We start from the raw sequence: 21369 nt of genomic DNA on the forward strand, positions 1-21369 counted from the left end.
TGTTTATACAAAGAGGGAAGAGGGGTACTTTGGTTTCTTTATTCTGTGTCTTTATTATTGAATACTAATGCATACTGAAAATATTTAAATAAAAAATACAGTGTTTGCCTTCAAGAAGTTTTAATTTAGCTGGACAATTACGTGCAGTAATGAACATATTTCCTACATGTTTTCAGAAATGGAAGGCAGGGAGAAAGACACGAAGAGAGCAACGGATGAGAAATGAATGCAAAAATTAGAGGGAGACCCCTACTCCTGTCCCCTAATTTGCAGTGAGGGTGGAGGGACCCAGAAAGGAAAATCCCAGGATAGGGAATCCGTATTCAAGACTGTGCATCCTTTTCCTAGGTCTGTCTCTAAGGCATGAATAAATTGAATGTACGCATTGAATCTATTTCTGTCACATTTGGGGCCACAACATATGGAGAGTTGGCTTGTTTTTCTAACTTAACTGACTTTGTTTAAAGACCCTTGCTCAGAGGAGAGTTCTCAATCAAAGTAGCCATACTCCATTCCCCATGGGAGGCCATCCAACCCTGGGCCTGAACTTTGAACATGGCACCAGTTGGCAAAAGGCTCTGCGAATCTACCCCTTTGTTTTTAAGACAGTGCCTGGGTGTTTGGTCCAGCATGGGTGGGTAACTTAGGGGGTCTTCACAATTTTACTACACATCTTGAATGGCATAAGGCAGGGCAACCTTTCCAGCTGAAGTGTCATAACATAGAAGTGGATTGTGGTGACCACAATTAATGTATTAGAAATAATAGGTAGATAAACAATGTTGGCAAGTTATTTTCTTGAAGATATATTACAGTATTCAGTGGGTACAGAGTTTCAGCTTTGCAAGGTGAAAAGAGTTCTGGAGATGGATCATGGTGATGGTTGCACAATAATGTGAATGCACTTCATACCATCACCAAACTGTTCTCTTTTTTTTTTTTGAGATGGAGTCTTGCTCTGTCGCCCAGGCTAGAGTGCAGTGGCGTGATCTCGGCTCACTGCAAGCTCTGCCTCCCGGGTTCACGCCATTCTCCCGCCTCAGCCTCCCGAGTAGCTGGGACTAGAGGCACCTGCCACCACGCCAGGCTAATTTTTTGTATTTTTAGTAGAGACAGGGTTTCACCATTCACAGAATGGTCTTGATCTCCTGACCTCGTGATCCGCCCACCTCGGCCTCCCAGAATGCTGGGATTACAGGCATGAGCCACCACGCCCAGCCACCAAACTGTTCATTTTAAAATGGTTAAGATGGTAAACTTTATGTTATATGTATTTTAACACAATTTAATATATACAACAGATTTAAGTTTCCAATTATAATAATGTCAGTGTCATGCAATTGTCTACTGATAGGCTTTCTTGTGGGATGGTGTCTTAGTTAGCATGTGAGGAATTGTGTGTAACCCTGGACATACCCATGGGAGTGTAGGGGTGAAAAGGTAATACCTCTTCTCATTCATCACAAGGGTCACAGCCAACTCTCCTATAACAAAAGACAGATTAGCAAGGGAAAAATGTAACAAATTTATTTAATCAACATTTTATGTGACAGGGGAACCTTCAGAAATGAAGATGCAAAGACCCAGGGAAAACTGTATTTTATGTTTGGTTAACACCATGTAGAAATGTGATTCGACAAAAAGTGCAAGCAAATGGCAATAAACTGAAGGGGAAATCCAGCAAGGCCTGTTTGTTCAGATTCTTCTCAGCCTCTCTGTGTAGCATTTCTTCCTCCCGGTGTAGGACAGAACACCTGTCACATGAGGGTTTTCAGGGAAGAAGACAGAAGGTCAGAGAGTAACATTTCCAGGTTTTATGGCTTTCTTTGGGGAAGAGGAATTCTTGTTTCTATGAGCTGATTTGAAGGAGAAATAGGTGAATAAGAAAGGAGGGCAGGAAAAGGTCAGAGAGAACTTCTTGCCTCTGAGGCCCTCCCATTTTCCTTCAGTTCAAAGTACTCAGCATGCCAAAGCTCTGTGCTTTGGGGAATCATGGTCTGACCCCAACAGGATTGTGTCACACATTGAGAATAATTCATCATAGTCGGTTAATAAACAGCTGTGACCTTGGGTAAGTTATTTGACCCATATTATTTCCCCCAATTTCTCATTTGTTTGTAAAAAAGAGACATCTTATAGGATAACCTGACTAAACCTAACATAATACATAGTGAGGCATTTTGATGTTAGTTTTCTCCCTTCTGGAAGTATCACAGAAAGAATTGAACATGATTAAAATTCACAGGAGAATCACTAAAGGGAATAAATAATCTTGTGAATACTTAAAACTTTGTGTAACCCAAATGTCCTCAGTTCCACCAACCCGAGGGAATGAATAAGTTATTAATACCCAAATTTTGCAAGCTCATAGCCCCACCTGCATGATCTCAACTCTTCCTCAAAGATCCTGTTAATTATGTGTTGGAGTCCTTATGTCTTACCAGTACTCAGTAATAGGTCCAAACTTGTCCCACTGCCTCAGCCTCCTTGTTAATGTTCACTGTCCCAAAGCACCTGAATTTCTCCACCACTGCCAATGCCTTCCCTGACAACTTTGCTTCTCTGTCTGCCTCTCCCTTCCCAAATCCTAAATCCCTGGTGTGTTGTTGTCTCACTGTATCAGAGTTATGCATTGTGGATTATACAGAAATGGAAAAAGAGCCCTTATACCAGTACTTTTTCACACCTTGTTCATCCTCTGGATGACATGAAAGCTAGTGAGACATAAAAACAGCTTCTGTCAAGACCAGAGAAAACAACAGATCCTGTGCTAACCCCTCTCCTGTACCACCATTACCCTGCCTCCACCATCCATCCGTCCAATCATCCACCAATCCATCCATCCATCCATCCATCTGTCCATCCATCCATCCATCCATCCATCCATCCATCCATCCATCCATCTGTCCATCCATCCAACCATCCATATATCTAACTATCTATCTATCTGTCTGTCTGTCTATCTATCTATCTATCTATCTATCCATCCTCTTATCCATTCCAAGGTACATCCTAGTCCCCTGCCATCCACACACAAAATTTCCTTCTCTCCCATTTCTCTGTGTTCCCTTAGCCCTTATAAATATTTTGCTACTCAAAATGCTCTTAATATTGAACATATGTATCAGGTATCTTACTATTAATATTAATATGTGCTTTACTTATATTATTTCTTGTAACTTTACAAAACTTTGAGATAAGTACTAGCCTAAATCTCTCTCATTTGACAGATGAGGAAATGGTCATATAGATATTAAGCAGTTAGCTCAAGGTCACACTGGTGATTAATAACAACTAGGATTTGAACCTGGATTTCATGCCATCCTCTCTAAATCTAGAGCCCTTAATTTAGGAAAGGAAAAAAAGTTATTACCATGTAGAATAACTACGTTTTTATATTTTACTCTCCTCCAAGCCATGAGCTCATTTAATTTAACTCAATCCTATTCATTTCTATAGATCCTTTTTAAACACCTCTCAGGGTCAGATTCTCTCCTGAAGACTCCCTATAAAGCAGAACCTCTTTCTTAGGCTTCCATGTAGCCCCAGCTCTCATCAGTGCTTGGAACCTGTATTCAACTGTCATTCATCAGTCAAAGACACTGATGACTAAGCACATACAATGCCAACCAAAATTCCTAGACGAAGAAGAATGTCAAATAGGAGTGAAGATAGCAAGTAAATTAGCAAATGACTATTTCCCACAAACATTCCTTCCCTGCCAGTCATGGGAGGTCTCTTCCTTCTTAGTAAGGATTAATCCTGTTTTCTTTGGTGGGAGAGAGAAACATGCTTCTTATATATCATTTTTTTCCCCTCTAAGTTCAACACAGTGTTGGATTCCAAATTGGCCATCTAAACACCTGCAAGCACCAACAGCACAGTCTGTCCTTAAGGTAAATCACTGCCTTTAAGCCAGAACTTGAGCTGATTAACACAACTGCATGTGGGGACATGCCTGACACCCCAAGACAAAGCAGCTTACTCTGCACAGAAGGAAGACCTTGGAGACTTCTCTGGTGGCTCTGAAGGCTTGGGCAGGTCCACAGCTCTCACAGGCCATGAAAGGAATGGTGTTTTTTCTGAGGACTAACAACCCTCCCAGAGAAAATACTTGCATCCCAAGGTCCCTGTGACACTCAAGAAACACATTCTTCTTGGCCACTTGCATGGATCCAAACTTTGATACCCAAAAGGGTTGGATAAATTTGATGCTAAAGAATACCTGAATGGGCTGCATCCTGTGAAACATGCTAACAAAACAAATCCCAGTGTCTTCACAGCACAGATACACAAGAAGATTCCAAATGTTTCCCTCCCTCCACTGATGAAGCTCTGGTCAGAAGTAGATTTACCAGGAAGCCAATAAAATGCGAGCTCCAGGGACACTCACTTATATGGGCCCCTTCTAAGTTCTGCCTCTGTTTTCAATTTGTAACTTTGTATTCATTTTCTTTACAAGTTTCCCTCCTCCCCCTCATCCCTGCCCCCAGTTGTAAAATCAACAGGCTCCACAGAACTTGGATCTGTCCCAGCTCTAGGCAGAATTTTTCCGCATAGAAATCAATATTGGACTTAGAGGATTGTGGCTCCATCTCTCCAGATGATCCCAGAGTTAATGATTTAAATCCATCTCTTGCCTCCTGTATCTTTATCCTCTTTGGTGTCTCTGACACTGATTTCAGGAACCATCTACCAGTGCTCCCAAGAGTGAAAATGCGTCCCAGGCAGTAGGGCTCTTTCCCACACTGAAAGGTCAGAATGAATTTCTTGTCATTTCCTCAGTAAAGGGACTTTCCTAAACCTCTCTTTGTCATCACCTGGTACCCTAAAGTTATCCCAGACATATTAGAAAAGAACCATGGTGGTAGAAAAGGATTCTGTACATACTTTTAACTCTGCCTGGACTTCTCTCCATTTATATAAAGTTCCTACTATTCATCCCTTAAGAACCAGCTTCTGTACCTTGGAGGGTGTAGGGACTGGAAAGTGGGATACCTTTCTTCACCCATGATAAGGACCACAGCCATTACTCCATAACAAAAGAGAGGTTAAAAAGAGAAAAGCATAACAAATGTATTTAATCACAGTTTTATGTGTCATGGGAGCCTTCAGAAATGAAGACTCAAAGACCCAGAGAAAACTGTGCATTTTTATGCTTAGGTTTGATGAAGAATGGACAACCATGTAGAAATGTGATTGGGCAAAAGGATATGATCTAACAGAAGTAGACTAAGAGGGAGGAGGGAAACTCAGCAAGAGCTGTCCAGATTTTTCTTGGCCTCTCTGGGTAGCATTCGTTTCTCTGTGGCATGGGGCAGGACCCCTCTGGATTGATGGTCTTTAAGGGAGAAGGGACAGAGTGCTCTTTCCATCTTTTATAGCTTGCTTTGCAGAAGAGGAGTTCTAGTTTCCATGACCCATCTTGAGGAAGAGGAAATCTGATTTCAATGATTTGCTTTGGAAGAGAAAGAAGAGTGGGAGGCAGGAGGGCAGGCAAAGCTCAGAAAGACGCTTCTGAGGCCTTCCAATCTCCTTTAGTTCCAAGAACTCAGCATGCCAAAGTGCCATACTTTAGGGTACTGTTTTCCAAGCCTTAACAAGGGAAAGAAGTACATTTTGTTTATCTGTGTATTGTTAGTATCTGCCATTTTTATAGGCACTCAGTCAATCTTGACCAATAAATAAACAAATGAATTAATCAGTGAAATGTGAGATGAAACATTAGGAAAGGAGAATGAACTGGATGTGAGCAGAGACAAAAAAGTAAAAAGCTAGGACATGTAAACAAGATTTTGAGTTGTGTAAACAAAATTAGAGCAACCATTAAACAGATACAATTCCCTCTTTTGATTTATAAAAAATCACACAGATTGCTCATGAAAATTTGTTAGGAAATGTACTTGGAACCCTTAAGGGAGGCAGCCACACTGAGTCATCTCTCTTAATTTGTAGCTTTTCGTCTGCTCAGAGGGTTTCAGTGTAGAAAGGAAACTTTGCAGATAGGGAAAAGTCAGTATTGACCTAGAGATAGGCTTATGTATTTTCTTGTGCCTGGAAATTTGTCCAATCACTTTTAATTCATAGGTAAGGCTAAAGCTTTGAGCATTAGTTTAAATAATTTGCTTAAATAAAACTATAACTAGCTTAACATAAACATCAACAGAATAGAGCTCACTTTTATTTTCCTTTTTATCTTCTTTTCCTTCCTGTAACACAGGAAAAGCATATCAAATTATTATCTCCATTTTATATGCAATAAAAATTTCCTATAAATTTTGTGCACAATTATGATCACATCTCCTATTTTTACAATTCATACTTTGAGATCCACTTGTCTTATTAGCTGGAAATCTAATTTCCCCAGTTGATCTTATTTATAGAGACTTTTTTACTGTAGAAGGGCTGTGTCATACTAACTTCCATAACCAAGAGGAATAGAACTGGAGTTTGATCTAATCCAACTAGCAGAAGAAAAAAGAAAGAAATGAAAAATTTTTCAATAATTTCATTAAAGCAGAAAAGAGAAACTGAAAACAAAAAAACAATTTAAATAGAAGACAAAAATACAAAAAAAAAAATCCCAATATATTTGTAATGACAATAAACATGAATGGATTAACTTTTTCTAGTAAAAGACAAAGACTCTCAGCCTGGTTTTTAAGAATGTCCAAAGACACTCCTAAATTAAACAATAAAAAGATCAGTTTAAAAGTTAGAAATGTTAAGAAACAAAACAGACAAATGTTAACAAAATGAAAGCAAGGCATAAAAGCATTAATACCAGACAAAGCACATTTCAAGAATAAAAGATGTTAATGACAAAAAAGATGTTTTAAACTCACTAAAGGTACAATTCACCAGGAAGATATAAGAGGCATCAAGTTGTATGTACATAAAATCATAGCTTCAAAATATACAAAGAAAAAAATTAGACATATAAAGTAATTATTGACAGATTCAAAATAATACAGGAGGAAGTTAACATATTATCTTAGAAATAGGCAAGTGAAAAAGCCAAAAAAAGTAAGAATGAACATGATCTGAATAACACTATTAACAATCTTGATCACATATATGAAGAGAGAGAGGAAGAAAGAGTCGGAGACAGAGAAAGAACTCACCATCTTATATAGGAAACTACACATTCCTTTCAAAAGCATGTGGGTCATTTACAAACATAGGATATAAATTTGGCCACAAAAAATTCAGTGAATTTCCAAAATAGAATAATACATACCACATTCTCTGGCCACAGTGTAATAGTACTTATTAGCAACATAAAGATAGTCATCCACAACAAAATCAAACTAATTCTACTCTTAAATAACTCAGATTAAAAAGAGAATTAGAAGCAAATTATAAACTATTTATAAGTGAGTAATTATTACACTACATATGAAAGTTTGTGGAATATTGCCAAAGCAAAACTCAAAAGAAAAATTAGGGCGGGCGTGGTGGCTTATATCTGTAATCCCAGCACTTTGGGAGGTCAAGGCGGGCAGATCACGAGGTCAGGAATTAGAGACCAGTCAGTTTGAGACCAGCCTGGCCAACATGGTGAAATCCCATCTCTACTAAAAATACAAAAATTAGCCAGGCGTGGTGGCACATACCTGTAATCCCAGCTACTTGGGAGGCTGAGGCAGGAGAATTGCTTGAACCTAGGAGGTGGAGGTTGCAGTGCGCCGAGATTGTGCCACTGCACTCCAGCCCGGGTGACAGAGCAATACTTCATCTCAAAAAAAAAAAAAAAAAAAAGTAAAGCCTTAAATATATTTTATCAATAAAAATTACCTAGACTGAGGCTGGCAAAATTTTTCTCTAAAGCCATAGATAGTTAATATTTTAGTATTTGCAGACCATACAGTCTCTGTCACATCTACTGAACTAACTCTGCCATTATACAGTAGTTGCCTCCTATCCACAGTTTTACTTTCCATAGTTTCAGTTACCTGTGGTCAAATGAGGTCTGAAAATATTGAATGAAAAGTTCCAGTCATAAACAACTCATAAATTTTAAATTACTCACCTTTCTGAGTAGCATGATGAAAGCTCACCCTGTTCCACTCTGCACACCAGAATGTCAATCATCCTTTTGTTCAGCACATCCATGCTGTAGACACTACATGGCCATTAATTACTTAGTAGCCATTTTTGTTATCAGATTGATAACACAGAGCTTGTGTTCAAGTAACCTTTATTTTTACTTAATAATGGCTCCAATGCACAAGAATAGTGATACCGATAGTTCTGATAAACCAAAGAGAAACAGTGAAATGCTTCCTTTAAGTCAAAAGGTGAAAGTTCTTGATTTAAGAAGGAGAGAGAAAAAAACTTTTATTAACATATATCATTATAATTGTTCTATTTTCTTATTAGTTTTTGTTGTTAATCTCTTACTGTGCCAGATTATAAATTAAACTTTATATTACATATATATGTACAGAATAGGAATAAAACACAGCATATATAAGGTTTGGTACTATTTATGGTTTCAGGCATCCAGTGGAGGTCTTGGAATATATAACAAGGATAAGTGAAGACTACTGTAGTTTGAAAGCAGCCATAGACAATAGGCAAAGGACTGAGAATGATTATGTTCTAATAAAACTTTATTTACAAAAACAGTGGCAAGCAGGATTAGGTCCAAGAGTCAGAGTTTGTCTCTCTTTTCTAGGGTATGCTGAGGTAACAAAGAACCTGAAAATCTTAGTTGCTTATACAAATAAGGATTTAGTTTTCACCCACTCCCACAACTCTACTCATAACAGTCATCCTCACTCTGGGACCCAGGCCGATAGAGCAGGAATCACTCGAAACATTGCAAATAGTAGTGGTAAGAAAAAGTACAACTGGCTCATACATTTCTGCCTAGAAATGACACAGTGCCATCTCTTCTTGCATTTTATGGACCAAAACAAATTATATGGCCAAAACTAACTTTAAGAGGGCAGGGAAATTTAATTATCCCTAAGAAGAGAAATAGGTATTAGTGAACAATACTCCCTCCCATATGTTTATATTAAAACATTTCTTTTCTGAAGATTCCCATTTTATCTTCCCTTCCATTATGGGTTGAATTGTGTTCCCTCAAATTTTATATGTTAAAGTCCTAACCTCCAGCACCTCAGAATGTGACCTTATTTGGAAATGGGTCTTTACAGAGGTAATCAAGTTAATGTGAGGTCATCAGGGTAGGCTCTAATCCAGTATGACTAGGGTCCTTATAAAAATGGAACATTTAGAAACAGAGACACACATAGAGGGAAGACAGTGTGACACGTTCTAAACAGAAGATGACCATCTGTAAGCCAACAAGAGTGGCTTGGAACAGATTCTTCCCTCACCACCCTCAGAAGGAACCAACCCTGCCAACATCTTGATTTCTAGAGGACTTCTCGCCCCTAGAACTGTGAGAAAAATGTGTGTTGTTGAGCCACCCATCTGAGGTACTTTCTTACAGCAGCCCTAGCAAACTAACACACCTTCCAAGGGAGACTCACAGGGTACCCTATACCTACTTCTTTGTTGGAGGCTGTCCTCTGGGAGTCCAAAGTGGTTTTCTGATGAGGATGCAAAGGCATAAGAATGATACAATGGACTTTGGGGACTTAGGGGGAAAAAGGTGGGAAGTGGGTGAGGGATAAAAGACTACAAATTAGGTTCAGTATATCCTGCTTGGGTGATGGGTAAACCAAAATCTCACAAATCACCACTAAAGAACTTACTCATGTAACCAAATACCACTTATATTCCACAAACCTATGGAAACAAACAAACAAAAATTTAAAGTGGTTTTATGGTAGTTTCTTTGCTCAAGAATAGGGAGAAAATATATCTTTGGTCTTTGGTGGACCATCCTGCTACTAAAGATGAGTCCAGCAGGAAAGTTAAGTCTCTGACTCGGGTAACATGGCTATGGTAGAGCTAGGACTAGCACAGGAAACCTTTGACCTCTGACAATGAACAAGCCCTTTCAAGAGCACCAGCGAGTCACCACAACTCTAACTGCTTTACAGGTGTTTTTTCTCTTAATCCTCATATCAACCCTATGCAGTAGATACTATTATTTCACATTCTTTCCACTTTAAGTCAAGCTAACTGAGACCAAGAGCTGCTAAGTAGCCCACTAAAAGTCCCAGAGCTAGAAAGTTGGAAAGAAAGAATTCAAAGCAGGTCATATGTGAAGACTACACCAGTATGACTCCCTCCTCTGGAATCCCATGTGCACCTTACTCAGATTCTGGTTCTGTCTTTCACCACTCTCTTGTGGGTAGGTGTCCTGGTGACTTTCCTGACCATAATGTTGCTTAGTCATCTGAATTCCCTGTGTCAGGTACAGTGCCTGATACAGAGTGGTCACCCAACCAGTGTGTTGAATGAATGAAGAATGAATGAATTGTGTCTTCACTGCAGGGAGAGTGATTTTGGTGGATAGTCAGATGGAATCAGGTTGAAGGGCACCTAAAGCTTAATCCCTGCTCGTGAGTCTTTATGTGCCTTTGGGCAAATATCTTACTTTCTACATGAAGTTTTTCTCCTTGGCATGAGTGAATCTTTCATATCTTCCCAGATGCATTATGGATTCATTCACGAATTAGTAGTGTGCATTAACACTATAAGTGCTATACTTCTGCTTAGCATATGCCCCACAGGCAACAGAGAGATCCATCCCTTTCACAGCAGCTTCAACTTCCAGGCTACTCTGGGGTTTCTAAATCACTTTGGAGTACTTGGAATGTGTTTAAGAGTTAACGAAAGCATGGAAATAGGCAACCAAAGTGCCCTTCTACCTGTATCCTAGTTCTTTTTTTTTTTGTCTTGGATTTTTCCCAAGGTTCTTAAAGGAAGAAGTGGTTGACAGCCACATGTATAAGCAAAGGCCTCTGCTTAGGAAGCAGGACTCGGCTCATTTCTGTCTGTAACTTGATGTATGACTTTGGGCAATGTGCTCTCCTTCCCTATTCATCTGTTTCCTTATCTTGAAAATCACAAAATTGCCCTGCATGACTTCTCTTTCAGCTCTAATATTCTTTGATGCAACACTGGACAAGATGCTATGTGTGGAGCTCTGCACTGGAAGCTGCAGATACAGCCATGAGTGGAGGATCGGGGTCTGGGTCTGTAAGCACTAAGAGCCTGAGCAGTGGGCCAGTGCTCCAATGAAGCCAGAGGCCTCCTGGGTCCTGACACAGCTGGGGATGGGCGAGTACTTTAGTGGGGCATGAGATGAAGGGCAGGAAACAAGGCTAAAAAAAGGAGAAAGGGGGCTTCTGTACCTCATGAGGAATTTAGACTCCATCCTGTATTCCTGTTAGCCCAACTTTGTTCCTTTGTCCCACCATCACTGTTTTGGCCAATTCTGTGCTATGGTGGTTAATAGCAGGGCCACCAGAGCTGCAAGTTCAGGTTTGTATCTATGCTTTGCTGCTTACTGGCAGCGTGACCTTGGGAAAATTACCTAACCTCTCTGTGCTCCAATTCTTCATTGCAGAATGGAGATGATACCTCATAGAAATGTTATGAAGGCTCAGTGTGTTACTACATGTCAAGTGCTTACAAACAGTGCCTGACACCTAAAAAGAATTCAAAAACCATTGGCTGGTATCTTTATACCTGTGTACCATTGGAAGTGATGTTTTAATATATGGTTTAGAAACGCATAGCACTGTACATGGAAATTCAGGATGTGAAGATCCATACTAACAATTTATATCATCTGCACAATGTATACCCCTGGAATGTAGAGGCAGAGATTTGGTTACTGAGGTTTTAAAAAATCACTGGGCATGGCTGAAAAATGCTCCTGTAATCCATGTCAACTTTGTAAGATGAATTACCATAGGCATAACTACTTGAGCTTCCCCCTGAGAAAAAAATATGTGAAATCACTAGTGTAATTTTAATAATTATACATTAAAATAAATATATTACTATTAAAATTAAAATTGTTCAACCCTCTGCTTCCTAAAACTTGTTTATGCATAAAACCCTTATTGTATACAATGAAGAGACAGAAATGTTTTAAGCAGGGAGTGACATGCACAGATTTGTATTTAAAAATTTTTAGTAATATTGCCTCCTTTTTTGTTCCTTTCCTTACCCTCAATGTGAGTGCTTGATAAGCAGAGGGGAAGATAAATCAGGCTTTGCAAAAGCTGGGATTAACTTGCCTTTTTCACACATAGCATTGTTTTCCTGTTCAGTTGTAACATGTCATATTGGTTTTGAATACAATGTTTTAAATAGAGTAAACAAAACACTTGGATTTCTCAAAGAGCTGAGGCCACAACAGAACATTTGCACAGCCTGTTATTTCTAGCTGGAATGCTCTTTACCTGCCTTCCACTTAGCTCCTACTTACTTAACTTCAGAATTCTGTAAAGCAATATTTCATAGGGAAGCCTTACTCTGTCTAGCTTACCAGTCAGATTGCCTCATTATTTATTCATCTGATGCAAGTCTATGTCCTACAGTTTATCACAGTTGTAACTATACATTTATTGGTGTGACCACTTGATTAATACCTGTCTAGCCCACTAGATGGTAAGAACCATGAGTAAAAGGATCATGCCTGATTTTGCTTACCACTTATCACCAGTACTTTGCACAATGCCTGGCACATAATAGGATCAATAAATATTTTTGGAATACATAAATGAATGAATGAATTAAACATCATTTTTAAGGCACTCCATTTTACCTTCATTATAAACATGTAGAATAGAAAGAGCACAAAATTTGAAATTGTCACCTGGATTTATGTCTATAACCCACCTCTTATGAACACTGGTCTGGCCACATGCTAACATTTTTGAGCTTCTGGATCCAGTAGTATCACTTATCAATAGGATTTTGGTGAAAATAAAGTAGTATAATACAAGGGAAAGGGTAATGTGTATATTCTATTAGTGTATACATATGTTAAACTAATTATTGCTCTGAGTTGGTCACATACAGAAGTTCATAGAATACTTTCTACCCTCAAAGAATATGCTTTCCTTGAACTTTCAAAATACACTCACACATGTACACACAATGATCACAATGGTTACAGAATAGTATGAAACAGTGTGGCATAAAATGTGGTGCTACAATTTTCAAGGGGACTTTTTAAAATTTTAATTTAATTTAATTTATTATTATTATACTTTAAGTTCTGTGGTACATGTGCAGAACATGCAGTTTTGTCACATAGGTATACACGTGCCATGGTGGTTTGCTGCACCCATCAACCCGTCACCTACATGAGGTATTTCTCCTAATGCTATCCCTCACCTAGCCCCCCACCCCCCAACAGGCCCTGGTGTGTGATATTCCCCTCTGTGTGTCCATGAGTTCTCATTGTTCAACTCCCACTTATGAGTGAGAACATGCAGTGTTTGGTTTTCTGTTCCTGTGTTAATTTGCTGAGAATGATGGTCTCCAGCTTCATCCATGTCCCTGCATAGGACATGAACTCATCCTTTTTTATGGCTGCATAGTATTCCATAGTGTATATGTGCCACATTTTCTTTATCCAGTCTATCACTGATGGACATTTGAATTGGTTCCAAGTCTTTGCTAATGTGAATAGTTCTGCTATAAACATATGTGTGCATGTGTCTTTATAGTAGAATGATTTATAACCCTTCGGGTATATACCCAGTAATGGGATTGCTGGGTCAAATGGTATTTCTAGTTCTAGATTCTTGAGGAATTGCCACAGTGTTTTCTACAATGGTGGCACTAATTTACACTCCCACCAACAGTGTAAAGGTATTCCTATTTCTCCACATTCTCTCCAGTGTCTGTTGTTTCCTGACTTTTTAATGATCGCCGTTCTAACTGGCGTGAGATGGTATTTCACTGTGGCTTTGATTTGCACTTCTCTAATAACCAGTGATGATGAGCATTTTTTCATATGTTTGTTGGCTGCATAAATGTCTTCTTTTGAGAAGTGTCTCTTCATATCCTTTGCCCACTTCTTGATAGGGTTTTTTGGTTTTTTCTTGTAAATTTGTTTAAGTTCTTTGTAGATTCTGGATATTAGCCCTTTCTCAGGTGGGTATATTGCAAAAATTTTCTCCCATTCTGTAGGTTGCCTGTTTACTCTGATGCAATTTCTTTTTCTGTGCAGATGTTCTTTAGTTTAATTAGATCCCATTTGTCAATTTTGGCTTTTGTTGCCATTGCTTTTGGTGTTTTAGACATGAAGTCTTTGCCCATGCCTATGTCCTGAATGGTACTGCCTAGGTTTTCTTCTAGAATTTTTATGGTTTTAGGTCTTATGCTTAAGTCTTTAATCCATCTTGAGTTAATTTTTTATATAAGGTGTAAGGAAGGGGTCCAGTTTCAGTTTTCTGCATATGGCTAGCCAGTTTTCCCAACACCACTTATTAAATAGGGAATCATTTCTTCAGGGGGATATGTTAATATTTTAGAAGCAAGGTAGCAAAGAGAAAATATAAGAGTTTAAATTTTAATCCCTTGTTTCCCATTTAGAAAACTGATATTATAATTTCAGTTCTGCCACTGACTGGCTATATGACCTTAAATAAGTCATTTAGATTATCTCAGTTTCCACATTGAAAATAGGGATAATTCTACCCCTTTGTAAGGTTGCTGCAAGAATTCACAAGGGCTATAAATTCCTATATTTAAAAAAAAGAATAAAGACCTCAAAAAGGAAAAGCTTCAAGTCAAGAACAAACTAAACCCAAGCAGGTAGAAAAAAGGAAATAATAAAGACCAGAATGCAAATAAACTAAATAGAGAATAGAAAACTAATAGAAAAAAATTTAACAAAACCAAAAATTAGTTATTAAGAATGAAACTTTAAATGAATAAATCCACAAACCTTATTTAACTAGACTGACCAGGAAAAGAAAGAGAGGGGGAGAAGACCCAAATTACTACAATCAACAGTGATAGAGGAGATATTGTTATCAACCTTACAGAAATAGAATTGTAAAGGAATACTATGAACTATTGTAAGTAAACAAATTAGATCACCTAAATGAAATGGACAAATTCTTAGAAAGCCACAAACTACTGAAACTGATTCAAGAAGGAATAAATATTTGAATAGGCCTATAACAAATAAATAAATTGAATTAGTAATCAAACACTTTACTCAAAGAAAAGCCCAAAACTAGATAGATTTATTGGTACAAAAATTTCCTTTAAAAAGAATTAACACTAGGTCATTGTCGTTGAAAATCAATTGGCCCTCTCCCTCTCCCTCTCCCTCTCCCTCCTCTCCCTCTCCCCACGGTCTCCCTCTCCCTCTCTTTCCACGGTCTCCCTCTGATGCCGAGCCGAAGCTGGACTGTACTGCTGCCATCTCGGCTCACTGCAACCTCCCTGCCTGATTCTCCCGCCTCAGCCTGCCGAGTGCCTGCGATTGCAGGCGCGTGCCGCCACGCCTGACTGGTTTTCGTATTTTTTTGGTGGAGACGGGGTTTCGCTGTGTTGGCCGGGCTGGCCTCCAGCTCCTAACCGCGAGTGATCCGCCAGCCTCGGCCTCCGGAGGTGCCAGGATTGCAGACGGTGTCTGGTTCACTCAGTGCTCAATGGTGCCCAGGCTGGAGTACAGTGGCGTGATCTCGGCTCGCTACAACCTCCACCTCCCAGCCGCCTGCCTTGGCCTCCCAAAGTGCCGAGATTGCAGCCTCTGCCCGGCCGCCACCCCGTCTGGGAGGTGAGGAGCGTCTCTGCCTGGCCACCCATCGTCTGGGATGTGAGGAGCCCCTCTGCCTGGCTGCCCAGTCTGGAAAGTGAGGAGCGTCTCTGCCCGCCGCCATCCCATCTAGGAAGTGAGGAGCGCCTCTTCCCGGCCGCCATCCCATCTAGGAAGTGAGGAGCGTCTCTGCCCGGCTGGCCATCATCTGAGATGTGGGGAGTGCCTTTGCCCCGCCGCCCCATCTGGGATGTGAGGAGCGCCTCTGCCCGGTCGCAACCCCGTCTGGGAGGTGAGGAGCGTCTCTGCCCAGCCGCCCCATCTGAGAAGGGAGGAGACCCTCCGCCTGGCAACCGCCCCATCTGAGAAGTGAGGAGACCCTCCGCCCGGCAGCCGCCCCGTCTGAGAAGTGAGGAGCCCCTCCGCCCGGCAGCCACCCCGTCTGGGAAGTGAGGAGCGTCTCCACCCGGCAGCCGCACCGTCAGGGAGGGAGGTGGGGGGGTCAGCCCCCCGCCCGGCCAGCCGCCCTGTCTGGGAGGGAGGTGGGGGGGTCAGCCCCTCGCCTGGCCAGCCGCCCCACCCGGGAGGTGAGGGGCGCCTCTGCCCGGCCGCCCCTACTGGGAAGTGAGGAGCCCCTCTGCCCGGCCGCCACCCCGTCTGGGAGGTGTGCCCAACAGCTCATTGAGAACGGGCCATGATGACAATGGTGGTTTTGTGGAATAGAAAGCGGGGAAAGGTGGGGAAAAGATTGAGAAATCGGATGGTTGCCGTGTCTGTGTGGAAAGAAGTAGACATGGGAGACTTTTCATTTTGTTCTGTACTAAGAAAAATTCTTCTGCCTTGGGATCCTGTTGATCTGTGACCTTACCCCCCAACCCTGTGCTCTCTGAAACATGTGCTGTGTCCACTCAGGGTTAAATGGATTAAGGGCAGTGCAAGATGTGCTTTGTTAAACAGATGCTTGAAGGCAGAGTCATCACCACTCCCTAATCTCAAGTACCCAGGGACACAAACACTGTGGAAGGCCTCAGGGTCCTCTGCCTAGGAAAACCAGAGACCTTTGTTCACTTGTTTATCTGCTGACCTTCCCTCCACTATTGTCCTATGACCCTGCCAAATCCCTCTCTGTGAGAAACACCCAAGAATGATCAATAAAAATAAAAATTAAAAAAAAAAAAAAGAATTAACACTAATCCTTCACAAACTCTTCCAAAAAATAGGAAACATTTCCCAACTCATTTTTAAGGCCAGTATTACCTGATAGCAGAACCAAAGATATCACAAGAAAAGAAAATTATAGACAAATATCTTTTATGAATATAGATGCAAGAATCTTCAACAAAATATTAGCAAACCAAATTTAACAACATAAAAAGATGATTATATACCATGACCTGAATTTATCCCAGGAATGTAAGTTTGGTTTAATATATAAACATTAAACAATGTAATACATTATATCAATAGAGATTAAAATCACAATCATTTCAGTAGATGCAGAAAATATATTCGACAAAATCTAACTATGTTTCATAAAAAAATATTCAACTGGGAATAGAAGGTAAGTTCCTCAACCTAATGAAGGGCACCTATGAAAAACCCACAGCTATCATCATGGTTAATGGTGAAAGACTTGAGACTTTCCCTCTAAAATCAAAAACAGGACAAGAATGTATACAGACTTGCCACTTCAATTCAACATTGTATTGAATTAGGCAAGAAAAAAAATAAAAGGGTTCCATAGTGGAAAGGAAGAAGTAAAACTGTCTCCACTATCAAACGAAATGAACTTGTATATAAAAATCCTAAGGAATATAAACAAGCAAAGAAACAAAGAGCTAAAAACCAAACCAAAATAAAACTATAAGAGCCAATAAATAAGTATAGCAAAGTTTCAGGATAAAAAAAAATCAGTTGTATTTTTATATACTAGCAATGAATAATCTTAAAATTAAGAAAACAATTCCATTTATAGCAGCATCAAAAAGAATGAAATGCCTAGGAATAAATGTAACCAAAATGCATATCTGTATAGATATATATAGGTGTTTTTGAGACAGAGTCTTGCTCTGTCACCCAGGCTGGAGTGCAGTGGTGTGATCTCAGCCCACTGCAACCTGCACCTCCTGGGTTCAAGTGATTCTCCTGCCTCAGCATGACAAGTAGCTAGGACTATAGAGGCCCATCGCCACACCCAGCTAATTTTTCTATTTTTAGTAGAGACAGGGTTTCACCATGTTGGCCAGGCTGGTCTTGAACTCCTGACCTTGGGTGATCCACCTGCCTCGGCCTCCCAAAGTGCTGGGATTACAGGCATGAGCCACTGTGCCCAGCCACAAGAAATACATATTAAAAATTATAAAACATTATGGAGAGAATTTAAAGATCTAAATGAATGGAAAGACATCCTATGTTCATGGACTGGAAGACAATGTTATTAAGATGGCAATACTTCCCAAATTGATCTACAGAGTCAACACAATCCTAACAAAATCCTAGCTGCTTTTTTTTTTTTTTTACAGAATTCAACAAACAAGCTATCCTAAATTCAAATGGAAATGCAAAGATTCAGAAAAGGCAAAACAATCTTGAAAAAGAACAAAATAGAAAGACTCATTCAGTTTCTGATTTCAAAACTTACTACAAAGCTACAGCAATCAAGACAGCATGATACTAGCATAAGACTCTCTCTCTCTATATATATATACACAATATACATATATATTATATATATATACAATATACATATATATTATATATATATACAATATACATATATATTATATATATATACAATATACATATATATTATATATATATACAATATACATATATATTATATATATATACAATATACATATATATTATATATATAGTGTGTGTATATATATATGTGTGTGTATATATATATATAAAATAGAATTCAGACCAAGAAATAAAGCCTAGTCCATTGATTTTCAAAAAGGGTGCCAACATGTTCAATAGAAAAACTTATTTCGACAAATGGTGAAAGGTTATTTTGACAAGTCGTGCTGGGGCAACTGGATATCCACATGCAAAATAAAGTTGGACTCCTACTTTACACCATATACAAAAATTAACTCGAAATGGCTCAAAGACCAAAATGTAAGTGCTAAATATATGAAATTCTTAGAATAAAACATAGGTGCAAATCTTTGTGAACTTGAATTAGGCAAAGATTTCTTAAATGTAACACCAAAAGCACAAGCAACGACAAAAAAAAGGTAAGTTGGATTTTCACAGTTTAAAACTGTGTGTTTCATAGAATGCTATCAAGAAAGCAAGAAGTAACTTTCAAAATGGGAAATAAAATTTGCAAATCATATATCTGATAAGGGACTAATAAAGAACTATTACAATTCAACAATAAAAAGACAAGTAACCCAAATAAAAATGGGCAAAAAATTTGTATTGATATTTCTCCAAAGATATACACACATCGTTTCCACTCACATTCCATTGTGAGAACTTATCTGTACAACCACACCTAATGCTAGAGGCCTAGGAGACATAGCCCTTGCCTCAGCAACCACAACTCTATACAGTGGAAGAAAGAGCACAGATTTTTCATGGAGATTTAGCCAGATGTACCTCAGTAGCAATTGTTAACCATGTCACACTGCCATCATCCAAAGCAGAACATGTGGAATGCCTTAATAATCTACTGAGTCTCAAGGTCCCTCCAGTTTGGTCAAGCTCACCTTTGGCCTTTTGGTGTCCACACTGTTATTTTACCCTTGAAGACTGAGAAACTCTTCTCATCTGAGGCACTTGGTATGGTGGTGACACTTGGATTTCCTTTTATCCCATATGGGATATGTAAACTCAGAGCAAGAAAAATATGTGCTTTTTATCATTCATACATAAGGCATTTCCTTTCTTGGCATCTCTGAGGCTGATGAATGAGTTTTTTTTCTCCCTAAATACACTTCATGCTTCATGAGCTATAATGAAAAGAAATGATATGCTCTGAATTCATCTGATTTAGGCACACGCATATTGAATGTCTTGCCATTAAGTATACTTTTTGATGTGTGGTATCCTTATGATCACATTATTTCCCTTTTATGCTAGAAAAAAACACCTGGGGGAGGGCAGGGGAGCAATGCAAAAACTCCCAGCCCAATTTATTTACACTGGGATTAGTTAGCTATGCAATGATGCCAGTAACAAAAGAGTGACCCAAATCCCCAAGCAGGCAAGTGCGCAGAAAGTTATTTTATTTTCAGGGTGAGGTGACCACAAACATATTTGATTTCTACCCCCCGAGAAGTTACAAATCTGACTCTCTGGATTCAACAAAAAGGTAATTATTATGGTTGTAAAGCTCTTTGCAGCTTTGCAAATAGCTTTCAGATTCCCTATTGCAGTGGAGCAGGATGCATAGCTTCACTCACTCATTTAATGTACAGTTAGTGAGTACCTGCTACGTACAAGGCACTGTCTTAGGTATTAGATTTCTATCTCCCTGTTACTTAGGAGAAAACTGAGGCTCAGAGATGTAAAGTAGTGTGCCCATGATCACAGTCAGTGGAATTAGAACATACTTTCCTTAAACCTGGTTCTGTTAAACCAACCCTAGTTTGTCATAGTAACTTGATTATTTACATGTGCCAGGCAAAGCGGTAAGAACTTTATATACTACATCTCATCTGATCTTCTCATCAACCTTGTGAATAGGTATTGTTTCCCTCATTTTACGTATGAAGAAACCAAGGTTTAGAGAAGTCCGGAGGCTTGCCCAAAGTCACAACACGTGTAAGTGGCAGGGCTGAAATCTCTATCTAGCTCTGTCTGTCTGGAACCCTCCTTTGCCTGTACTTTGTCTCTGCTTCTCTCCCTCCCTGTTGATTGGCTGTGCCCATGAGACCCTGTCCATGTGGCCACAGCTGATTGAATAGGGATTGACACCTGCCACAGGGCAGCTTTCCTAAGGCCAGTGCTCTGTAGCACCCTGAGCCAGGCACACTTCAAGGCACAGCCCATACTGGGGGTGTCAGCTGTTGCCGCAGTCCTTGCTCATTCAGGATGGGTCACTGACCTCTGCCTCGTTCGGTTAGGTTCCAAAGTGACTTTTTGCCGTACTTGTTCCCTGCTCTGATAACCAAGAGTGGTCACTCTTTCATCCTTCCCTCATTCTTTCTTCCAGCTTTAATTTCTGGAAATGAGTCTTTGGTTCAATTCTCCCTGGTCAGGATTGGTAACATCATTTTTAGGGCCCAGTGCAAAATTAAAATGTAGAGTTTCTTGTTCAAAAATTATTACAAATTTGGAGATAGCAGCAACAGGACATTGAGTCAAGCATGAGGCTCTTCTGAGTGTGAAACCCTGTGTGTTTAAACAAGTTACATGCACATGAAGCCAGCCCAGGCCCTGGCATAGTTTTTAATGACACTTTTGGAATGGCCCAGATTTTTACCATAGATTCTCCTTCTGTTTTTGCATCACCCCTCCCTGCTCTAACCTGGAACAGGCCAACTTTCACCATGGCTCTGTTAGCACTTATTCTCCATCTCTTGGCCCTTTTACCCATTGTAACCTAATTCTCTAATTTCCTAAGTTCCCAGTAGTCTGTCTCCCCCAAGACCAGTCCCAACTCCCTGACATTCTCATGGGCATCTCACACACTGAGCTTTCCAGACAGTGACCTTGCACTGTATACAGATGGGAGACTGATCAGGAGA

At 39.8% G+C, this 21369-nt stretch overlaps 1 annotated feature.

Moving 5' to 3' along the window:
- Positions 13698 to 13867: an enhancer, noted in NCBI's record as "experimental_21738 CRE fragment used in MPRA reporter constructs". NCBI's record gives its function as "activates a minimal promoter by MPRAs in K562 erythroleukemia cells, with activity observed for the introgressed 11:86441139 variant allele {active_cell/tissue: K562}" and the evidence as "EXISTENCE:reporter gene assay evidence [ECO:0000049][PMID:34662402]".

The sequence above is a fragment of the Homo sapiens genome, chromosome 11, assembly GCF_000001405.40.
Source record: "Homo sapiens chromosome 11, GRCh38.p14 Primary Assembly".
Classification (NCBI taxonomy): Eukaryota; Metazoa; Chordata; class Mammalia; order Primates; family Hominidae; genus Homo; species Homo sapiens.